Source organism: Homo sapiens, chromosome 19 (genome assembly GCF_000001405.40).
Source record: "Homo sapiens chromosome 19, GRCh38.p14 Primary Assembly".
NCBI lineage: Eukaryota > Metazoa > Chordata > Mammalia > Primates > Hominidae > Homo > Homo sapiens.
The window spans coordinates 46,745,171-46,763,904 of record NC_000019.10 but is presented as its reverse complement, the minus strand read 5'-3'; the positions used below and the strand labels follow the sequence as shown (position 1 = coordinate 46,763,904).

At 53.1% G+C, this 18,734-nt stretch overlaps 2 protein-coding genes across 27 annotated transcripts in view, besides 6 other annotated features; one reads left to right on the top strand and one right to left on the bottom strand.

The window, feature by feature from the left end:
- Positions 2,159 to 2,453: a silencer, noted in NCBI's record as "tiled region #2893; HepG2 Repressive DNase matched - State 7:EnhWF, and K562 Repressive non-DNase unmatched - State 6:EnhF". NCBI's record gives its function as "represses a minimal TATA promoter and a strong SV40 promoter by Sharpr-MPRA in HepG2 and K562 cells {active_cell/tissue: HepG2 | K562}" and the evidence as "EXISTENCE:reporter gene assay evidence [ECO:0000049][PMID:27701403]".
- Positions 5,330 to 18,734, bottom strand: part of FKRP (fukutin related protein) — a 13,816-nt gene continuing 411 nt past the window's right edge. Inside the window, exons 1-5 of one of the 18 annotated variants that reach the window (XM_047439422.1) lie at positions 17,815 to 17,848; positions 16,600 to 16,671; positions 15,817 to 15,878; positions 15,021 to 15,390; positions 5,330 to 8,493 (exon numbers count right to left, since the gene is read on the bottom strand). In XM_047439422.1, the coding sequence (XP_047295378.1) occupies positions 6,967 to 8,454 (1,488 nt within the window). In that variant the 5' untranslated portion in view covers positions 8,455 to 8,493; positions 15,021 to 15,390; positions 15,817 to 15,878; positions 16,600 to 16,671; positions 17,815 to 17,848 and the 3' untranslated portion in view covers positions 5,330 to 6,966. The other 17 variants (XM_005259247.3, XM_005259248.3, XM_047439423.1 and 14 more) reach the window with 17 other exon arrangements.
- Positions 17,030 to 17,079: a silencer, noted in NCBI's record as "silent region_10829". NCBI's record gives its function as "represses an Ori minimal core promoter by ATAC-STARR-seq in GM12878 lymphoblastoid cells {active_cell/tissue: GM12878}" and the evidence as "EXISTENCE:reporter gene assay evidence [ECO:0000049][PMID:35858748]".
- Positions 17,120 to 17,219: a silencer, noted in NCBI's record as "silent region_10828". NCBI's record gives its function as "represses an Ori minimal core promoter by ATAC-STARR-seq in GM12878 lymphoblastoid cells {active_cell/tissue: GM12878}" and the evidence as "EXISTENCE:reporter gene assay evidence [ECO:0000049][PMID:35858748]".
- Positions 17,260 to 17,409: a silencer, noted in NCBI's record as "silent region_10827". NCBI's record gives its function as "represses an Ori minimal core promoter by ATAC-STARR-seq in GM12878 lymphoblastoid cells {active_cell/tissue: GM12878}" and the evidence as "EXISTENCE:reporter gene assay evidence [ECO:0000049][PMID:35858748]".
- Positions 17,420 to 17,469: a silencer, noted in NCBI's record as "silent region_10826". NCBI's record gives its function as "represses an Ori minimal core promoter by ATAC-STARR-seq in GM12878 lymphoblastoid cells {active_cell/tissue: GM12878}" and the evidence as "EXISTENCE:reporter gene assay evidence [ECO:0000049][PMID:35858748]".
- STRN4 (striatin 4) overlaps positions 17,455 to 18,734 on the top strand; it is a 26,940-nt gene continuing 25,660 nt past the window's right edge. For all 9 annotated transcript variants that reach the window (NM_013403.3, NM_001039877.2, XM_006723172.3 and 6 more), the window contains exon 1: positions 17,455 to 17,756. In NM_013403.3, coding sequence (NP_037535.2) covers positions 17,475 to 17,756 — 282 coding nt within the window. In that variant the 5' untranslated portion in view covers positions 17,455 to 17,474. The remainder of the gene's footprint in view (positions 17,757 to 18,734) is intronic.
- Positions 17,680 to 17,909: a silencer, noted in NCBI's record as "silent region_10825". NCBI's record gives its function as "represses an Ori minimal core promoter by ATAC-STARR-seq in GM12878 lymphoblastoid cells {active_cell/tissue: GM12878}" and the evidence as "EXISTENCE:reporter gene assay evidence [ECO:0000049][PMID:35858748]".

Below are 18,734 nucleotides of genomic sequence, written 5' to 3'. Positions count from 1 at the left end.
AATCATATACTATGTAGCGTCTTGCATCTGGCTTTTTTTTATGTGTCATAATGCTTTTGGGATTTATTCTTATTTTTGCATGTATCAGTAGTTTGTTCTTTCTTTTCTTTTCTTTTTTTTTTTTTGAGATGGAGTTTCACTCTTGTTGCCCAGACTGGAGTGCAATGGCACAATCTCGGCTCACTACAACCTCCGCCTCCCGAGTTCAAGTGATTCTCCTGCCTTGGCCTCCCAAGTGGCTGGGATTACAGGCATGTGCCACCATGCCCAGCTAATTTTGTATTTTTAGTAGAGACAGGGTTTTGCCATGTTGGTCAGGCTGGTCTTGAACTCCCGACCTCAGGTGATCGGCCCGCCTCGACCTCCCAAAGTGCTGGGATTACAGGCGTGAGCCACCACGTCCGGCCCAGTTCTTTCCTTTTTTAAAAAACTTGCTAAGGAGTATTATGTTGTCTGAGTGTACCACAGTTTGCTTATCCACCCACCTGTTGATTTACATCTGATGGTTTCCAGGTTGGGGCTATTGTGCATAAAGGTGCATTTGTAGACAGGTTTTTTATTTTTTATTTACCTTATTTTATTTTTGAGACAGAATCTTGCTCTGTTGCCCAGGCTGGAGTGCAGTGGTGCAATCTCGGCTCACTGCAACCTCCACCTCCCAGGTTCAAGCAATTCTCCTGCCTCAGCTTCCTGAGTAGCTGGGATTACAGGCACCCACCATCACGCCCGGCTAATTTTTGTATTTTTAGTAGGGATGGGGTTTCACCATGTTGTTCAGGCTGGTCTTGAACTCCTGACCTCAAGTAATCCGCCCTCTTCGGCCTCCCAAAGTGCTGGGATTACAGGTGTGAGCCGCCACACCTGGCTAATTTTTGTATTTTTAGTAGAGACGTGGTTTCACCATGTTGACTGGGCTGGTCTCAAACTCCTGACCTCAAGTGATCTGCCCGCCTCAGCCTCCCAAAGTGCTGGGATTACAGGCATGAGCCACTCGCCCCTCCTAAATTTTTTTGGTAGAGACAGGGTCTCAACATATTACCCTGGGTGGCCTCCACCTCCTGGGCTCATGTGATCCTCCAGCCTTGGTCTTCCAAAGCGTTGGGATTACAGGCATTAGCCACCACACCTGGCTAATGTAGACAGGTCTTTACATGCCACTATTGTTCATAGCAAATATTTTGTAACATGTAGGGCTGATAGACAAAATATTTACTGCTTGGCAAAGTCATCAGTCCATCCAACATCCGGGATATGGGTCCCTCTTATCTCCCACTATACCCAGTTTAACCCCTGGACTTCTGGGCCAGAGGGCAGCCCAGGGGATCCCCAGGGAGAGCTAGGAGGATACTAATAGTCAGGGGGTTCATGGCAGTGACCGTTTATGAATGAGTAAATAATCCATAATTTAGTGTTTTGCTGTCTTAACCACTGGCGTGGCCATACCAGGGCGTGTGCTGGCTTGAATGTCAGTTCTGGGAAAGTTCTCTCTGTTCTCCTGAAATGAAGTTCATAGACAGTATAACCCACTGGCACATGATTTAACATGATTTAAGAAAATCCTACTTTGGGAGGCCAAGGTGGGCAGATCACTCGAGTCCAGGAATTTGAGACCAGCCTGAGCAACATGGTGAAACCCCATCTCTACTTAAAATACACACACACACACACACACACACACACACACACGTATTTTTAGTAGAGATGGGGTTTCACCATGTTGGCCAGGCTGGTCTCGAACTCCTGACCTCAAGTAATCCATCCGCCTTGGCCTCCCAAACTGCTGGCATTACAGGCGTGCGACACCGCACCTAGCTAATTTTTGTATTTTTAGTAGAGACATTATATATATAAATATATTTATATATATATATATATAAAAGCTGGGTGTGGTAGTACTTATCTGTAGTCCCAGCTACTCGGGAGGCTGAGGTGGGAGAATCGCCTGAGCCTGGGAAGTTGAGGCTGCAGTGAGCCAAGACTGTGCCACTGCACTGCAGCCTGGGTGACAGAGTGAGACCCTGTCTCAGAAACAACAACAACAGCAGCAGCAACAAAAACGATCCTTGATTGCCCTAAATGTAATAAAAAGGAGAAATAAGAACATAGTAACTTACAATAAGCATTTCATTATGCGGATGTGTGGAGCCAGTCCCCTAGAACCCAAGGAGGTAGGCAGATGTTTATGCCTGTAATATAGACAGTTCCAACACATTGAAAACACGTGGACTGGTGTCCAATTACCAAGAGCCATGTGCAATGTGAGTTTTTTCACATGGTGGACAACCTTTGGCCAAGTTTTGAACAAAACACGATACAAGCTTCCCTCATTTTTTGTGGTAGTTGCACTTCCTGGAAGATTCCGAGGCTATTTAAAAACAAAAAGGACTTTGTACGTACAAGAGAGAGATTTTTGGCCAGGGTTTTCACCTCCAAGTAAGGCTAAAATTTAGTTGGTCTGAACTAGTATGGAAATACTGTTCTTTCTTGTTTGTTTTTGAGACAGAGTCTCGCTCTGTCACCCAGGCTGGAGTGCAGTGGCATGATCTTGGCTCACTGCAACCTCCGCCTCCTGGGTTCAAGCGATTCTCCTGCCTCAGCCTCCTGAGTAGCTGGGACTACAGGCGCCCACCACCATGCCCGGCTAGTTTTTGTATTTTTAGTAGAGACAGGGTTTCACCATATTGGCCAGGCTGGTCTTGAACTCCTGACCTTGTGATCCACCCACCTCGGCCTCCCAAAGTGCTAGGATTACAGGCGTGAGTCACCATACTTGGCCAATACTGGTTGTTAAAATACTGAAATACTTCTGACTGGATAATAATAGTACAAGAGTAGTTGAGAAAGCACTGAAATTCAATACATATTTGAATAAAAATGAATTAGTTCAAGTTAATTGTGACAGATCTTTGTCATATCATAACTTAGGTGATAATAAGGATTTTTGTTTTTTTGAGACAGGGTCTCACTCTGTTGCCCAAGCTGGAATGCAGTGACATGATCATGGCTCACTGTAGCCTTGACCTCCTGGGCTCAGGTGATCCTCCCACCTCAGCATCCTGAGTAGCTGGGACTGCAGGGGTGCACCACCACGCCCAGCTAATTGCTGTATTTTTAGTAGAGACATGGTTTTGCCTTGTTGGCCAGGCTGGTCTTGAACTCCTGGCTTCAAGTGATCTGCCCGCCTCAGCCTCCCAAAGTGGTGGGATTACAGGCATGAGCCACCCCGCCTGGCCCCTAGTCTGGTCTTGAACTCCTGGGCTCAAGCAATTCACCTGCCTCGGCCTTCCAAAGTGCTGGGATTAATGGTGTAAACCACCACGCCCTGCTCAATTTTTGAAATGTTTTGTAGAGATGAGGGTCTCTCTATGTTGCCCAGGCTGGTCTCGAATTCCTGGCTTCAAGCCATCCTCCTGTCTTGGCCTCCCAAGGTGCTGGGATTACACTATGCCTGGCCTAAAATATTTTAAAAATTTGATGCATACATTGACATATACTAATTTATATTACAGTACCAGTGGCAAAACATTTTGAATATTACCCTTCCTTCGTGAATGTCCAATGAGACATCTGGAAGCTGCATGAGACAAGGGATGATGCTGTACTGTGTGGAGATTCCTGAATATTACAAGACATCTGCATCCCTGGACCACGTCTGCCAAGAGCCAAGAGCAGCTTCCAGTCATGATGATAATGCAAATCATCCCCATGCATTCCAGAATCCTCCCTGTGGACCTGCCAAGTCTCTTTGTGAACCATTTTTGGGTTCAGTGGTTAAAAGCAGGGGTTGGGTTACAAGAAGTCAGGCTTTGGATGTCTGAGCCTCAGGAGACTCGGCCAAACAGTAATCTTCTCTTGCTGGTCTATGAAGCCTCCTCCTCCCAGGAATGTACAATTGTGAAATATTACCAATCTCCCCAGTTTACAGGTTCAGAGAGGCAGCGACTTGTCTGAGAGTACAAAGAAACCAAGTGGCCAAGCCAGGATTCAAACCCAGCCAGACTCTGGGCCCCTTTACCGCGAACACACTCCTGTGGGAGGAGCGATCTCATTGCTTCCACTTCCCAAATGCAAGGTGGGGGCGCAGAGACAGAGTCAATAGAGGCCCTGGGAGAAGGTGGCAGCACTGGGAAACCCGGTCCTCTCCAACCTCAAGCCCATGTCTTTTCTTTTTTTCTTTTTTTTTGTGGGGGGATGGGATAATGCTCTGTTGCCGAGGCTGGAGTGCAGAGGTGCAATCAGAGCTCACTGCAGTCTTGATCTCCTAGGCTTAAGCAATCCTCCTGCCTCAGCCTCCCCAGTAGCTAGGACTACAGGTGCATGCCATTATGCCTGGCTGATATGGTTTGGCTGTGTTTCCACCCAAATCTCATCTCGAATTGTAGTTCTGATAATCCCCATGTGTCGTGGGAGGGACTGGGTGCGAGGTAATTGAATCATGGGGGCAGTTACCCCCATGCTATTCTCGTGATAGTGAGTTCTCATGAGATCTAATGGTTTTATAAGGAACTTTCCCCTTTTGCTTGGAACTTCTTCTTCCTGCCATCACAAGATGTGTTTGCTTCCCCTTCTGCCATGATTGTAAGTTTCATGAGGCCTCCCCAGCCGTGCTGAACTGTGGGTCGATTAAACCTTTCCTCCTTTATAAATTACCCAGTCTCAGGTAGGTCTTTATTAGTAGCATGAGAAGGGACTAAAACAGTGGCTATTTTTTTATTATTTTGTAGAGACAGGGGATCTCGCTATGTTGCCCAGGCTGATCTTGAACTCTTGGCCTTAAAGGATCCTCCAATTTTGGCTTCCGAAAGTACCGGGATTACAGGCATGAGCCACTGTGCCCAGTCCTTGCTTATTTTTAACATTTTGCCTCTTATTTATTATTTTATTTTTTTGAGATGGAGTCTTGCTCTGTTGCTCAGGCTGGAGGGCGGTGGCACAATCTTGGCTCACTGCAAGCTCCGCCTCCCGGGTTCATGCCATTCTCCTGCCTCAGCCTCCTGAGTAGCTGGGACTACAGGTGCCCGCCACCATGTCCAGCTAATTTTTTGTATTTTTAGTAGAGACGGAGTTTCACTGTGTTAGCCAGGATGGTCTCGATCTCTTGACCTTGTGATCCGTCCGCCTTGGGCTCCCAAAGTGTTGGGATTATAGGCGTGAGCCACCATGCCTGGCTTTATTTATTATTTTTAATTGACAAGAGTCTTGCTCTATTGCTCAGGCTGGTCTCGAACTCCCGAGCTCAAGTGTTCCTCCTGTCTCAGCCTCCCAAAAGTGTTGGGATCACAGGCGTGAGCCACCACGCCCGGCCAGCTTTTTTTTTTTTTTTTTAACCCGTGGTCTTGAATGCTGGGTGCTCACACCTGGGTGTGCAAAAGTCATTGGGATGAGGCAAGAAACATAAAAAAAACCCTATTCATATTCATAATTTTAAAATGGAATAATTTAAGCTTTATTACTAACATACAGATAATAGTATCTGTATATATTTATAAATAAATATACACATATTGGGAATACATGCCCAAATACCATTTATTCTTAGGTGCATAATCAAATAAGGAAGGCTGCCATTGCTTTCACCTGCTAAGTGGGTCTCCAAGCCCCTCTTGGGGACCATGACTAGAGAGGGGCATAGTGGGTAAGACAATTGTGGGCTCCAGAGCCTGACCACCTGGGTTCAAGCCCCCGATCTGCCCCTTCCTAAGCTGCCTGACCTTGAGCAAGTGACTTCACGATTCTGGCCTCAGCTTTTTCATCTGTGTAATGAAAATAATAGCAGCTGTCACTTCAGAGGGCTGAGGTGAGGGACGCATTAGTTGATCCAGGTGAAACACTGAGAATGGTGCCTGGTACCCAGTAGGTGCTCAGTGAGTGTGAGCTATGGTTATTGTCTACACTGCCGTGCAAGTGGGGAATTAGGTGCAGACAGCTGAAATAATGAGGTATTAGTCATGAGTGGAGCTGCGATTCAGAAGTCGGTTCTTTTTCTTTTTTAAAAATAGAGACGGGGTCTTGGCATGTTGCCGAGGCTGGTCTCAGACTCCTGGGCTCAAGCGATCCTCCCACCTCGGCCTCCCAAAGTGCTGGGATTACAGGCGTGAGCCCCCGCGCCCGGCCCAGCACCCGGTTCTCGACCACAGCCGCACCTCGGAGCTCTGAGCATTTCCTCCTCTGCAAGACTGAAATACTTCTATTCAGTCTTGAATAGAACAGTTAAGAGTAGCATGCAGGTCACAGGGCTCTCCCAGGAGGGAAGGAGGTCGCAGTCCAAAAGAAGGGGAGGTGGTCACTGCTGTCCGCCTCCCACAGGGGCTTGGAGAGAAGTCCAAAGGCTCAAGAGAGTAGATGGCTATGGAACACAGGCCCTGGGCGTACTGTCGCCCGGGCAGCCACAGTGGGCCACCAGGAGCGGGACCGGCGCGCCCTCTAGTGGCGGAAGCAACCCCTGCAGCCAAGGGTCCCGCATCCTGGAAGCAACTGAGGCACAGAGAGACTGCGACGCCCCCCCAGGCCCACCTGGCTCCGAAGCGATAGAGCCAGGATTTGAATCTCGCCAGTCTGGCTCCAGAGCCTGCACTGTTTCCAAAACTCTGCCCCTGCCCTAGAGCGCAGGGCTCTCGGAATCTTGGGCAGAACACTTTTTTCGGGTCTGGGGCTGTGCTGGGCCCTGCGGGACGGCGTGACATCCCCGTCTCCCTCCATGACTGAGATGACCCAGGATGTCCCCACGCATATCCACGGCTCCCAGTGGGCATGACCATTTGATAAATCTGGAGGTCGCTTCCCATCCTCGTCCTGGTGCTCTCCTCCTGCCAATGCCAGCCTTCTCTCATGCTCTCCTTAGAATTTCTTTCTTGGTCAGTTTCCCCCTTCCCCTCTCCGCGACATCCCTCCACCCCTCACCGCTCACACAGAGCTTCTCCACATCCAGACAGACCCCCGAAAAACAAAGGCGAGGTTATCAGGGCTTCAGCCGCTTCCCGTCAGACTCAGCAGTGCCGGGTTGGGGTACTGGGGGTTCTCGATGACCCCGGGCCCGAACTTGAGCTCCAGGAAGCGGCGGTAGTTGTTAGGCGCCTGCGCCACGAAGCCGGCAAAGGGCAGGGGCACCAGCGGCTGCAGGAAGTGCTCGGGAAACTCCACATCCTGCCGGTGGTCCAGCCACGTGTCCTTGGTCATGACGCCATTGCGGGGGTAGAAGGGCCACAGGTCCACGTGCAAGTGGTTGCTTTCGCTGTACTGCACGCGGAAAAAGTCGCCCTCGACCGCCTTCTCCCATACGAAGCCGCGCTCATCCACCACCGAGCCGGCCTCTGCCCCCCGCAGCTGCTCGCAGTTGCCCACGTCCTCCAAGTAGATGCCCAGGTCCACGTCGTAGTCCCATGGGATGATGTCCCCGTGGCGGGCGGCCCCCAGCAGTGAGCCGCCCTCGAGCCAGTAGCGCACGCCCGCAGCCTCCAGCACGCCCACCACATAGCGGGCGGTCTCGCGCAGCGCGCGCAGGCAGCAGGGGGGCGTCCAGCGCTCCTCGTAGAGGTAGGCGGGCGTGTCGCCCACCACGGTTCCGAAGCAGCGCGTGGTCTCCTTGTTGCAGCCGAACCACTCCAGCCGCCCGCCTTCCCAGCTCACTAGGCGGATGCCCAGCGCGCGGAGCAGCGCCGCCCGCCGAGCGCGTCCCTCGCGCTCAGCCTTCCAGCGCGCGTGGGCCGTGGCCAGCGGGGGCTGGCGCGCCGCGGCGAAGGTCAAGTCCAGCAGCTGCACCGCCCAGCCGCGAAGGGCGGTCTGCAGAAAGAGGCTGGTGCCCACCGGCCGGGCCAGGGGCGCCGAGAGGTTGAAGAGGTCGCGGGCGCGCAGGAGCACCACAGCATCTCCGTCCAGGGCGTCGCAGCGGGGCGCGGCGGGGGCTGCGCCATAGCGGGCGGTCCACTCTCGCAGGCTGACGTTCAGGGCCAGGCACCTGGCAGGGTTGGCCGTGGCAACCGGGGCGGCCACCAGACGTGCGCTTCCTGCGCGGAGCGCCTCCACCATGCGCTCCAGCAGGCCAGGTGCCTCAGCCCGCGCCCCATCAGGTACTAGGGCCACAAACTCGGTGGCCACGTAGGTCTCCGGGCGCGAGGCTGCGGCTGGCCGGTCCAGGGCGGGCTGGAGCAGCGCCAGACGCACGTTGGGGATGCGGGGCAGGGCCAGGGGCGGGTAGGGGAGCGTGTCGGCTGCCACCACCACGGGCTGGGCTGGGTCTTGCTGCAGGAAGGAGTCTACCAGCTCGGGCACCGCGTTGTCAAATGCCTCGAACTCCCGCACCAGGACGGTGACACGGGGGCCGGCAGCAGAGGCACGACGGGGCCCCCGGGCCCGGGAATTCCTAGGCTGGTGCTGCAGCCACGAGACATAGAAGAGGACCAGAAGGTTGAGGGTGATGGCGGCCGCCAGGGCAGCCTGGCAGCGGGTGAGCCGCATGGGGCCGAAGTCTGGGGCTAGCTGGGCCTCCGGGGCATCCTGGGGGAGGGGGACGAAAGGGAAGGCAGCAGCTGATTGTCAGAACCACCCCCTTCTGCCACCCTCAGCCTTGCCCCTTTCTACAGCTCTTTCTCAATTCCCTTTCTTTTCCCTATTTGGTTTCAGCTTTGACTTCCCCTTCTCCAGGAAGCACTCCCTGACCTCCCAGTCTGGGCCATGCACCAACTCTGGGTGTCCTCAGAATTTTTTTTTTTTTTTTTAAACAGAGTGAGTCAAACTAATAGAAACATAAAGTAGAATGACGGGTGCCAGGGGTTGCAGGCAGGGGGGAATGGGGAGTTGTTTGATAAGTACAGAGTTTCAGTTTGGGAAGATGAAAAGGTCCCAGAGGTTTGTTGGCACAACAGTATGAATGCATTTAACACTACTGAACTGTGTGCTGAAAAATGGTTAAGATGGTACATTTAATGTTATATATACTTAATCAGAATTTAAAAAAAATTTTAAGTGGGGTGCTGAAAAATATAAATGAAAAAAAAAGGTTAGGCTGGGCGCGGTGGCTTATGCCTGTAATCCCATCACTTTGAGAGGACAAGGCAGGTGGATTACCTGAGGTCAGGAGTTTGAGACCAGCCTGGCCAACACGGTGAAACCCCATCTCTACTAAAAATACAAAAGTTAGCTGGGTGTGAGGGCGGGTGCCTGTAAGCCCAGCTACTCAGGAGGCTGAGGCAGGAAATCGCTTGAACCTGAGAGATGGAGGTTGCAGTGAGCGGAGATGGCACCATTGCACTCCAGCCTGGGCAACACAGCGAGACTCCGTCTCGAAAAATAAATAAATAAATAAATAAACAAACCAATTTAAAACAAGAAAAACAAAACAAAAGTGGGGTGGGCCAGGTATGGTGACTCACGCCTGTGATCTCAGCAATTTGGGAGGCCAAGGCAAGAGGATCACTTGAACCTGGGAGGTGGAGGTTACAGTGAGCCGAGATGGCACCGTTGCACTCCAGCCTGGGCAACAGAGTGAGACTGTCTCAAAAAATAAATAAATAAATAAATAAATAAATAAATAAAAATTAAAAAAAAAAAAGAAAAAACAAAAGTGGGGTGGGCCAGGTACAGTGACTCACACCTGTGATCCCAGCAATTTGGGAGGCCAAGGCAGGAGGATCACTTGAGTCCAGGAGTTCGAGACCAACCTGAGTAACATAAGGAGACTTCATCTCTACAAAAAATAAAAAATTAGCTGGGTGTGGTGCTACTCACCTATGGTCCCAGCCACTCAGGATGCTGAGGTGGGGGGATGGCTTGAGCCAGTGAGCCATGATCATGCCACTGCACTCAGCCTGGACAAGAGTGAGACCCTGTCTCAAAATACCCAACAACAACAAAAAACTGGGGTAGCTTGCATCAAAAGAGGCTGCCAACCTTAGGACACTCCCCTCCACATTCATTGGCCACACCCTCAAGCACCAGATGGCGCTGTCTCCTTGTCCCCACCGAGACTGAAGATTTGGCTGGCCGGTCTCCAGCACAGGTGGTATAGCTCTGGGTTCCAAGCAGATGATCAAATAATTTCCCCATGAAGGCTTTTTGTAGGTTTCTGCCCTTCCTAGAGAGAGGGGGCATCCAACTAACCTCCCTATGTCCTAAATCCTCTGTCCCCTCCTCCCCATTTCCACAGCTCCCTCCTCAACCAGGTCCACCCACATTCCCATCCAACCTCCCCCTGGTCTCCTGGCAATTCCTCTCCCCGTGATAGCCAGAGGAGTCTTCCTAAAGCACAAGTTGGACCTCTCCTTCCCCTGCTCTGAACTTGCCATGGCTCCCAGTGCCCAGGGGAGAAAGTGGAAGCTGCTTCTGACATTCCCCTTGTCTGCCCCCCATTCCACCCTCATCTCTTGCCATGCTTTCCCCAACCTGTATGTTTAAGTCACCCTGAACATTTTCTCAAACTGCTCTTATTTCTTTTCTTTTCTTTTTTTTTTTTGAGATGGAGTCTCCCTCTGTTGCCCAGGCTGGAGTGCAGTGGCAGCTATCTCATCTCACTGCAACCTCTGCCTCCCGCGTTCAAGCGATTCTCCTGCCTCAGCCTCCTGAGTAGCTGGGATTACAGGCATGCGCCACCACACCCGGCTAATTTTGTATTTTTAGTAGAGACGGGATGTTGGTCAGGCTGGTCTCGAACTCCTGACCTCAGGTGATCCACCCGCCGTGGCCTCCCAAAGTGCTGGGATTACAGGCGTGAGCCACCGCGCCCAGCCAAAAACAATTTTTTTTTTTTTGAGACGGAGTCTCACTCTGTTGCCAGGCTGGAGTGCGGTGGTGCGACTGGCTCACTGCAACCACCGCCTCCAGGGTTCAAGCGATTCTCTTGCCTCAGCCTCCTGAGTAGCTGGGACTACAGGCGCGTGCCACCATGCCCGGCTAATTTTTGTATTTTTAGTAGAGACGGGTTTTCACCATGTTGGGCAGGATGGTCTCAATCCCTTGACCTCATGATCTGCCTGCCTTGGCCTCCAGAAATGTTGGGATTACAGGAGTGAGCCACCACACCCAGCCAAAATATATATATTTTTTAAACGGACAGCGTCTTGCTCTGCTGCCCAAGCTTGAGTGCAGTGGTGCAATCACGGCTCACTGCAGCCTCGAATTCCTGTGTTCAAGCCATCCTCCTGCCTCAGTCTCCCGAGTAGCTGGGACTACAGGCATGCAATACTGTGCCTGGCTAATTTTTCAAACACATTTTTGTGGAGACTGGCTCCCACTATATTGTCCAGGCTGGTCTCGAACTCCTGACCTCAAGTGATCCTTCCGTCTCGGCCTCCCAAAGTGCCAGGATTACAGGCGTGAGTCACCATGTCCTTTCTAATCTTTAGAATCCTGGAATTGCCTTCTGGACCTTAGATTGATTCTTCCTTCCTTCAATCCTTCAACATCTATTTGTTGAACTCCTACAACATGCCAGGCACTGTTCTAGGCACTGGAGAGAGAGCAACAGATGCTCAGAGACAGACAACATTCCTGCCCTTGTGGAGCTCCCATTAGTGCAGGGGCAGGAACCTTTGCAACCACAGAACCTCAAGCCCTTCAAAATCTTAGAGTTTAGGTACATAGGAGCTCCGAACACACATGAGATGGTTAGTCTGCATATCCTTGAAGGTCACAGCAAGAGACTGTCTTCCCGCTTCTGTTCCTGTGGTCTGTTCCTCATTCAGCACCTCGAGAGATCCTGTCACAACTCACATTTCATCCTGTCCTGGCTCTGCTCAGGCCCTTCTGTGGCTGGCACCTCGCAGGAAAAGCCAAGGTACTCAATGTGGCCCATAAGGCCCCGCGTGATCTTCCATCCTTTCCTACTCACTCACTCAGCTCTAGGAACATTGGCCACCAACACCATCTTTCAAACACACCTGGGACACTCCAGCTGCAGAACTGCCTGTTGCCTCTGTCTGAGTGTTCTTATCCCAGATAGCCACAGGCGATCCACCCCACTGCGCCGGCCCCCACCCCCATCACTCCAATGTCACCTTCCCATAACCTCTTCCTTTGGCCATCCTATTTAAAAATGCATCTTGGTGGGCTGGGCATGGTGGCTCATGCCTGTAATCCCAGCACTTTGGGAGGGCGAGGTGGGCAGATCGCCTGAGGTCAGGAGTTCAAGACCAGCCTGGCCAACATGGTGAAACCCCATCTCTACTAAAAATACAAAAAATTAGCCAGGCGCGGTGGCGGGCGCCTGTAGTCCCAGCTACTCGGGAGGCTGAGGCAGGAGAATGGCGTGAACCCGGGAAGCGGAGCTTGCAGTGAGCCGAGATTGTGCCACTGCAGTCCGCAGTCCGGCCTGGGCGACAGAGCAAGACTCCGTCTCAAAAAAAAAAAAAAAAAAAAATACAAAAAAGTTAGCTGGGCATGGTGACAGGCGCCTGTAATCCCAGCTACTTGGGAGGCTGAGGCAGGAGAATTGCTTGAACCCAGGAGGCAGAGGCTGCAGTGAGCTGAGACCATGCCATTGTACTCCAGCCTGGGCAACAACAACAAAACTCTGTCTCAAAATAAGTAAATAAACAAAAAAATGCATCTTGGCCAGGTGCAGTGGCTCACACCTGTAATTCCAGCACTTTGGGAGATTGAGGTAGGCAGATCGCTTGAGACCAGGAGTTTCAGATCAGCCTGGACAACATAGTAAGATGCCATCTCTACAAAAAATAAACAAAACTAACTGGATGTGATGGCTTGCACCTGTAGTCCCAGTTACTTAGGAGGCTGAGGTAGGAGGATCACTTGAGCTGGGGAAGTCAAGGGTGCAGTGAGCTGTGATGGCGCCACTGCACTCCAGCCTGGGCAATAGAGCGAGACCTTGTCTGTCTTTAAAAAAAAAAAAAAAGCATCTCCCATGTACTTCCTATCCCCCATTCCTGCTTTATTTTGCTCCCCTAGTAGTTATCACGTGGATTTTACTTAGCTTGTTTGTTGTCAGAATCTCCATGGAAGGCAGGGAATCTGTTTTCTTCCCTACTGTATCCCCAGAGCACAGCTCAGTGCTTGGTGCATAGCAGGTGCTCAATAAATACGTGTTGAATGAATGAGTGACTTGAATTATTAAGATAAGGAACGTGGGCTGGGTATGGGGGCTCACTCCTGTAATCCTAGCACTATGGGAAGCTGAGGCAGGAGGATCGCTTGAGCTCAGGAGTTCAACACCAGCCTGGGCAATATAGCAAAACCCCGTCTCTAAAAAAATACAAAAATCAGCCAGGCGTGGTGGTGCCTACCTGTGGTCTCAGCTACTTAGGAGGGAGGCTGAGGCAGGAGGGTCCCTTGAGCCCAGGAGGTGGAGGCTGCAGTGAGCTGTGATTCAGCCACTGCACTCCAGCCTGGGCGACAGAGCGAGACCCAGTCTCAAAAACGAAAGATAGGAACCTCTGGCTCAGAGAGATAAGAAGGATGCAGGGTCGAGAACCGAGGTCTCCGCTTCTGAGGCCCTGGCTCTTGCCACACTGTCTGACTGACTCTGGGCCAGGAAGGAGGTGCCCAGCAGGGCAGAGGACAGCAGCCAGGTCCTGGCTACCCTCAGGCCCAGCACAACTCTTGGCCCTCGCAGACCAGACACCAGCAGATTTGATGGCCAGATGAAGAGGTGCCACCTGCTGGTGAGGGTGTGAGGGAACCTGAGGCGGGGAAAGGAATCATCTAGTACCCTGATAAAGCCATGCAGACTTCACCGCCTCTAAGGGCAACAAACCCCTTCGTTGGGGCAAAGTGGATACAATGATGATTTTGAAGGTCTGAATGTTCTACATTTTTCTGAATCGGGAGGATAATAATAACAATTCTAGCAGCTCACCATGTGCCAGGCCCTGTTCTAAGCACTTTAGGCATATTCACTTGTTTAATCCTCGTGTTATGATCACATTTAAAAATGGAAACCAGCCGATGTGGTGGCTCATGCCTGTAATCCCAGCACTTTGGGAGGATGAGGCTGGGGGAGATTGCTTGAGCCTGGGAGTTTGAGACCAGCATGGACTGGTAAGACCCCGTCTCTACAAAAAAATTTAAAAAATTAGCCGGGCATGGTGGTGTGCACCTGTAGTCCCAGCTACTCTGGTGGCTGAAGTGGTAGGATTACTTGAGTCTAGGAGGCAGAGGTTGCAGTGAGTTGAGATTGTGCCACTGCACTCCAGCCTGGGTGACAGAGCCAGACTCTTTTTTTTTTTTTTTTTTGAGACGGAGTCTCGCTTTGTCACCAGGCTAGAGTGCTGTGGCACAATCTCGGCTCGCTGCAACCTCCAACTCCCTGGTTCAAGGGATTCCCCTGCCTCCGCCTCCTGAGTAGCTGGGATTACAGGCATGCGCCACCATGCCCGGCTAATTTTTGTATTTTTAGTAGAGATGGGGTTTCACTATGTTGGCCAGGATGGTCTCAATCTCCTGACCTCGTGATCCGCCCGCCTCAGCCTCCCAAAGTGCTGGGATTACAGGCGTGAGCCACCGCGCCTGGCCTCGAGACCTTATCTCAAAAAAAAAAAAAAAAAAAAAGGAAACAAAGGCACAGAGAGTTAAAGAGTTAAAGTCTCTTATTCAAGGTCACACAATGTGAAGTAGTGGACCCAAGAGTTGATCCAAGAAGCTGGCTACAGAGTCGTACTTTAAACCAGTAAACTTTACCTTCTCTCTTGGGTTCTTTCTGAAGCCCCAACTCTCAGCCCATCTTTAGTGAGCCTTCCCCAGCCCTAACCTGACAGGGGCTTTCAAAGCTTGGCTATGGCACATTAATAAATTAATTCAACTCAGTAACTCAACAAACTCAAGTATTCTTTGTGGTGGACCCCATGTTTTGAGGATACAGAATGAACGAGGTACTCATTAGGTCAGCCCTCCAGAAGACAGAAAGAAGACTGACAGGGCCACGTGTGGTGGCTCACACCTGTAATCTCAGTACTTTGGGAGGCCCAGGCGGTCAGATCACCTGAGGTCAGGAGTTAGAGACCAGCGTGGGCAATATGGTGAAACCCCCTCTCTACCAAAAAATACAAAGATTAGCTGGGCATGGTGGTGCGCACCTGTAATCCCAGCTATTGGGGAGGCTGAGGTGTGAGAATCACTTGAACTCAGGAGGCGGAGGTTGCAGTGAGCCGAGATTGCTCCACTTCACTCTAGCCTGGGTGAGACCCTGTCTCAAAACAAACAAACAAACAAAAAAAAGACGGACAAAAGCCATGCAACTTACAGACAGGGCAGGAAACCAGCAGGGGGCGCAAGAGTAGAAACAGGGGGCTTGCCTTAGAAATGGTAGTCAGAGGGGACAGTTACTCTGAGAGTTTACTTGTCTCTCCAGTCCCCACAAAACAAGGTAAATGAATCCAAATTCTCTTCAGGCCTTGGGTTCACTGGGTCTGAGTTGCGATTTGGCCTGAGCCTCAGTCCCTGCACCTGTGGAATGGGAATGTGACGGTTAGAAAAAAATGAGAGGGCTGGGCGCGGTGGCTCACGCCTGTAATTCTAGCATTCTGGGAGGCCGAGGCGGGCGGATCACGAGGTCAGAAGTTCGAGACCAGCCTGCCAACAAGGTGAAACCCCATCTCTATTAAAAATACAAAAAATTAGCCGGGCGTGGTGGCAGGTGCCTGTAATCCCAGCTACTCGGGAGGCTGAGGCAGGAGAATCGCTTGAACCAGGGAGGTGGAGGTTGCAGTGAGCCATGACCGCGCCACTGCATTTCAGCCCGGGCAACAGAGCGACACTCCGTCTCAAAAAAGAAAGAAAGAAAAAGAAAAAAATGAGAGACATGGGAAAGCCTTAAGGAATGAGGAAGGGCAGTTTCCATGAGAGTGTAGGTGACACTGAGGGACTTCTTACCTCCTAGGTTGTAGGCTGGGGGAGTTCCAGGAGGGCAGTTCCAGCCCAGCTGAGCTGCGCTCCTGAGAGGAGGAGAACCAGAAAATCCCAAATCAGCCATTTCCGTACAATAGAGCACAATTTCATCTTATCCACAAAAGTGGCAAGAGAAAGGTCAGGGAATCCTTTCTCTTGAAGTCCTATAATCTCGGGCACCACCTGGGGTGTCTCAGGAGTGGGGTGGGGTGAATGGGAGGGATGTCAGTTATTATAGCAACCTATAACCATCCCTCTAGCATGAATGTGTCCAGAAAAGGTAGGGCTAGAAGCCAACAGAAGCTGTTACCATGACAACCCCTTCCATAGACACACTCTACCTCTGAGAGACATTCTTAAAACATCCCCTGGCCGGGCGTGATGGCTCACACCTGTAATCCCAGCACTTTGGGAGGCCGAGGCGGGCCTGAGGCAGATCACCTGAGGTCGGGAGTTCAAGACCAGCGTGACCAACATGGAGAAACCCCGTCTTTACTAAAAATAAAAAAAAAATTAGCCGGGCGTGGTGGCGCATGCCTGTAATCCCAGCTACTTGGGAGGGTGAGGCAGGAGAACGGCTTGAACCGGGGAGGCGGAGGTTGTGGTGAGCCGAGATTGGGCCATTGCATCCCAGCCTGGGCAACAAGAGTTACACTCTGTCTCAAAAAAAAAAAAAAAAAAAAAAATCCCCTCCTTTGTTGGGCTTGGTTCCTAGGGTCACTCGAAGGGGGCTGCTCTATTATCATAGTAACCAGGCCTTGAACTTGCCTGTTTCTCACCTTCCGGAGGAAGGTCCAGGCCCTGTAACCATAGCAACTGCCCCTCAGCAGAGCATCTCCTCTAAATAAAAACACCTGGTTAGTTTGGTGCATGGGCCTCCCACGATGGGAAGGGGAAGACGGTTACCATGGTAATGCCAACTAGGTGGCTATGGGGGAGGGGCTGGGGAAGAGGTGCTTCTCTTAGAGATCAGTGTCCTTGGGGCTGGGGTCCTTTCTACCTGAATGCTAGGTGGGGGGGAGGTTGCCATAGTAATCAATGAGGATAGGAGCAGAAGGACCACCACGGACACTTAGGTTACCTTAGCAACCTTCTCCTGGTGCAGAGTCCTAAGAGGTTTGGGGCTCCATAACCACAAAGGTGGAAGCGAGGGGAAGGCTGCTCCCCACCACCTCGCCCCCACCGCTGGGGAAGGGTTACCATGACAACCAACCTGGCCGGCAATCAGAGAGGATGGGGCCACTGCTGGTCGCCCTTTCTCTCAGAGTAAAAGTAATTGTCCAGGAGAGTGGTGTTTGGGTGTGGAAGGGGTAAGGCTCTTTCTCTGGGGCGAAGTGGGAGGAGGGGGGCAGAAAGCGGCCCCTTCCTCAGTCTCACTCCAGCGAGGGGGACCGTCGCGCGGGGCCTGGGTCTCCCTCGCCCTCCTCGGGGCGCGATCTCCCACCCGCCGGCCCCCGCGCGGGCACGCTACCCTTCGGTGTAGACCCGGGTGGGCGAGGCTCGCGCTCGCCGCCGGCCCCCCTTCCTACTGTCCCCCGCCGGGCGCGCGCGCGGTGGTTGCGGCGGGGGAGGGGGGGGGGTGTTGGCGCGGCCGCGCAGGCGCGCGAGGCACAGCGGGCGCGCAGGCCGGCCCCGGGGCCTCCATGATGGAGGAGCGAGCGGCCGCCGCGGTCGCCGCCGCCGCCTCCTCCTGCCGTCCGCTCGGCTCAGGCGCGGGCCCTGGCCCCACTGGGGCGGCCCCGGTCTCCGCCCCTGCCCCCGGGCCGGGCCCGGCAGGTAAGGGAGGCGGCGGCGGAGGCAGCCCCGGGCCCACGGCGGGCCCGGAGCCCCTGAGCCTGCCGGGGATCCTGCACTTTATCCAGCACGAGTGGGCGCGCTTCGAAGCCGAGAAAGCCCGCTGGGAGGCCGAGCGCGCCGAGTTACAGGTGAGCGCTGTCCCGGGACCCCCGACCCCCAACCCGGCCCGGCCCGGCCCGGCCTCACCCGCTGCCGCCGCCGCCGCCATCTTGGAGCAATGGCCGCCGGGACGGCCGGCGGGGGGGCGGGAGGGGACCGCGACGGTCCCGGAGGGCGAGTGAGGGGCCGTCCGAGGGGTGTCCTGAGGGCACTCCGGGGTGGGACGGGACCGGGACGGCCCGAGGTGGGAGTGGAGGGACCGGGGGTGGGAGGGATCACCGGGACCGGCCGAGAGAAAGGGGCGGAGGGACCACAACCAGCTGGGAGTGGGACTGGGACTGGGACTGAGCACGCTGGCCGCGGGGCTCCTGAGAGAGGCGACTCGAGCCCTGGAGGGGAGGCTAAGAGAACTCGGGAAAGGGTGTGGAGAGGAGCTGGAGGGGTCTGGGAGACCTGAGTGGTCTCCTGTGGGAGTAAGCAGAAGCTTGCCGGGCGCCGAGGGACTCCCGACCCCGACCCCGACCATGGCCCTAGCCAGGTGCAGGTTGGAGGTGGGAGCGTCCAAGGGGGGAACTTGGGACCCGCTGGGAAAGAGCGGGTCCAGATGGGGAACCGGGAGGATTTAGGGAGAGGAAGTCGGGAACCTGGGATCGGTGTGTTTCGGGGCGACTGGACGGTGGGCACGGAAGGAGGGCTGTGTAAGGACCCGAGGGGTGGGAGGAGGGTTTCAAGGGGTCCAGGATGAAGGTGTGTGCCTTCCCCTCTGAGGAGAAACTTTGGGGATCCCGGGCATGTGTGGCTGCACAGTGCAGGGAAGGGTTCTTTGGAGTGGAAGTGTGGACAGAGCAGGGAATGTACCCTAGGAGCCTGGATGGGAGAGCTTAAGAGTGGAAGTTCCACTTTGGGGGTGTGCAGGAGTGGGCGCGATGGCACTGAGATGGCACGTGTGTTGTAGGATGTAGGTAGAGAGCCCTGAACTGGAGTGTGGGGTGTTGGGCATGTCCAGT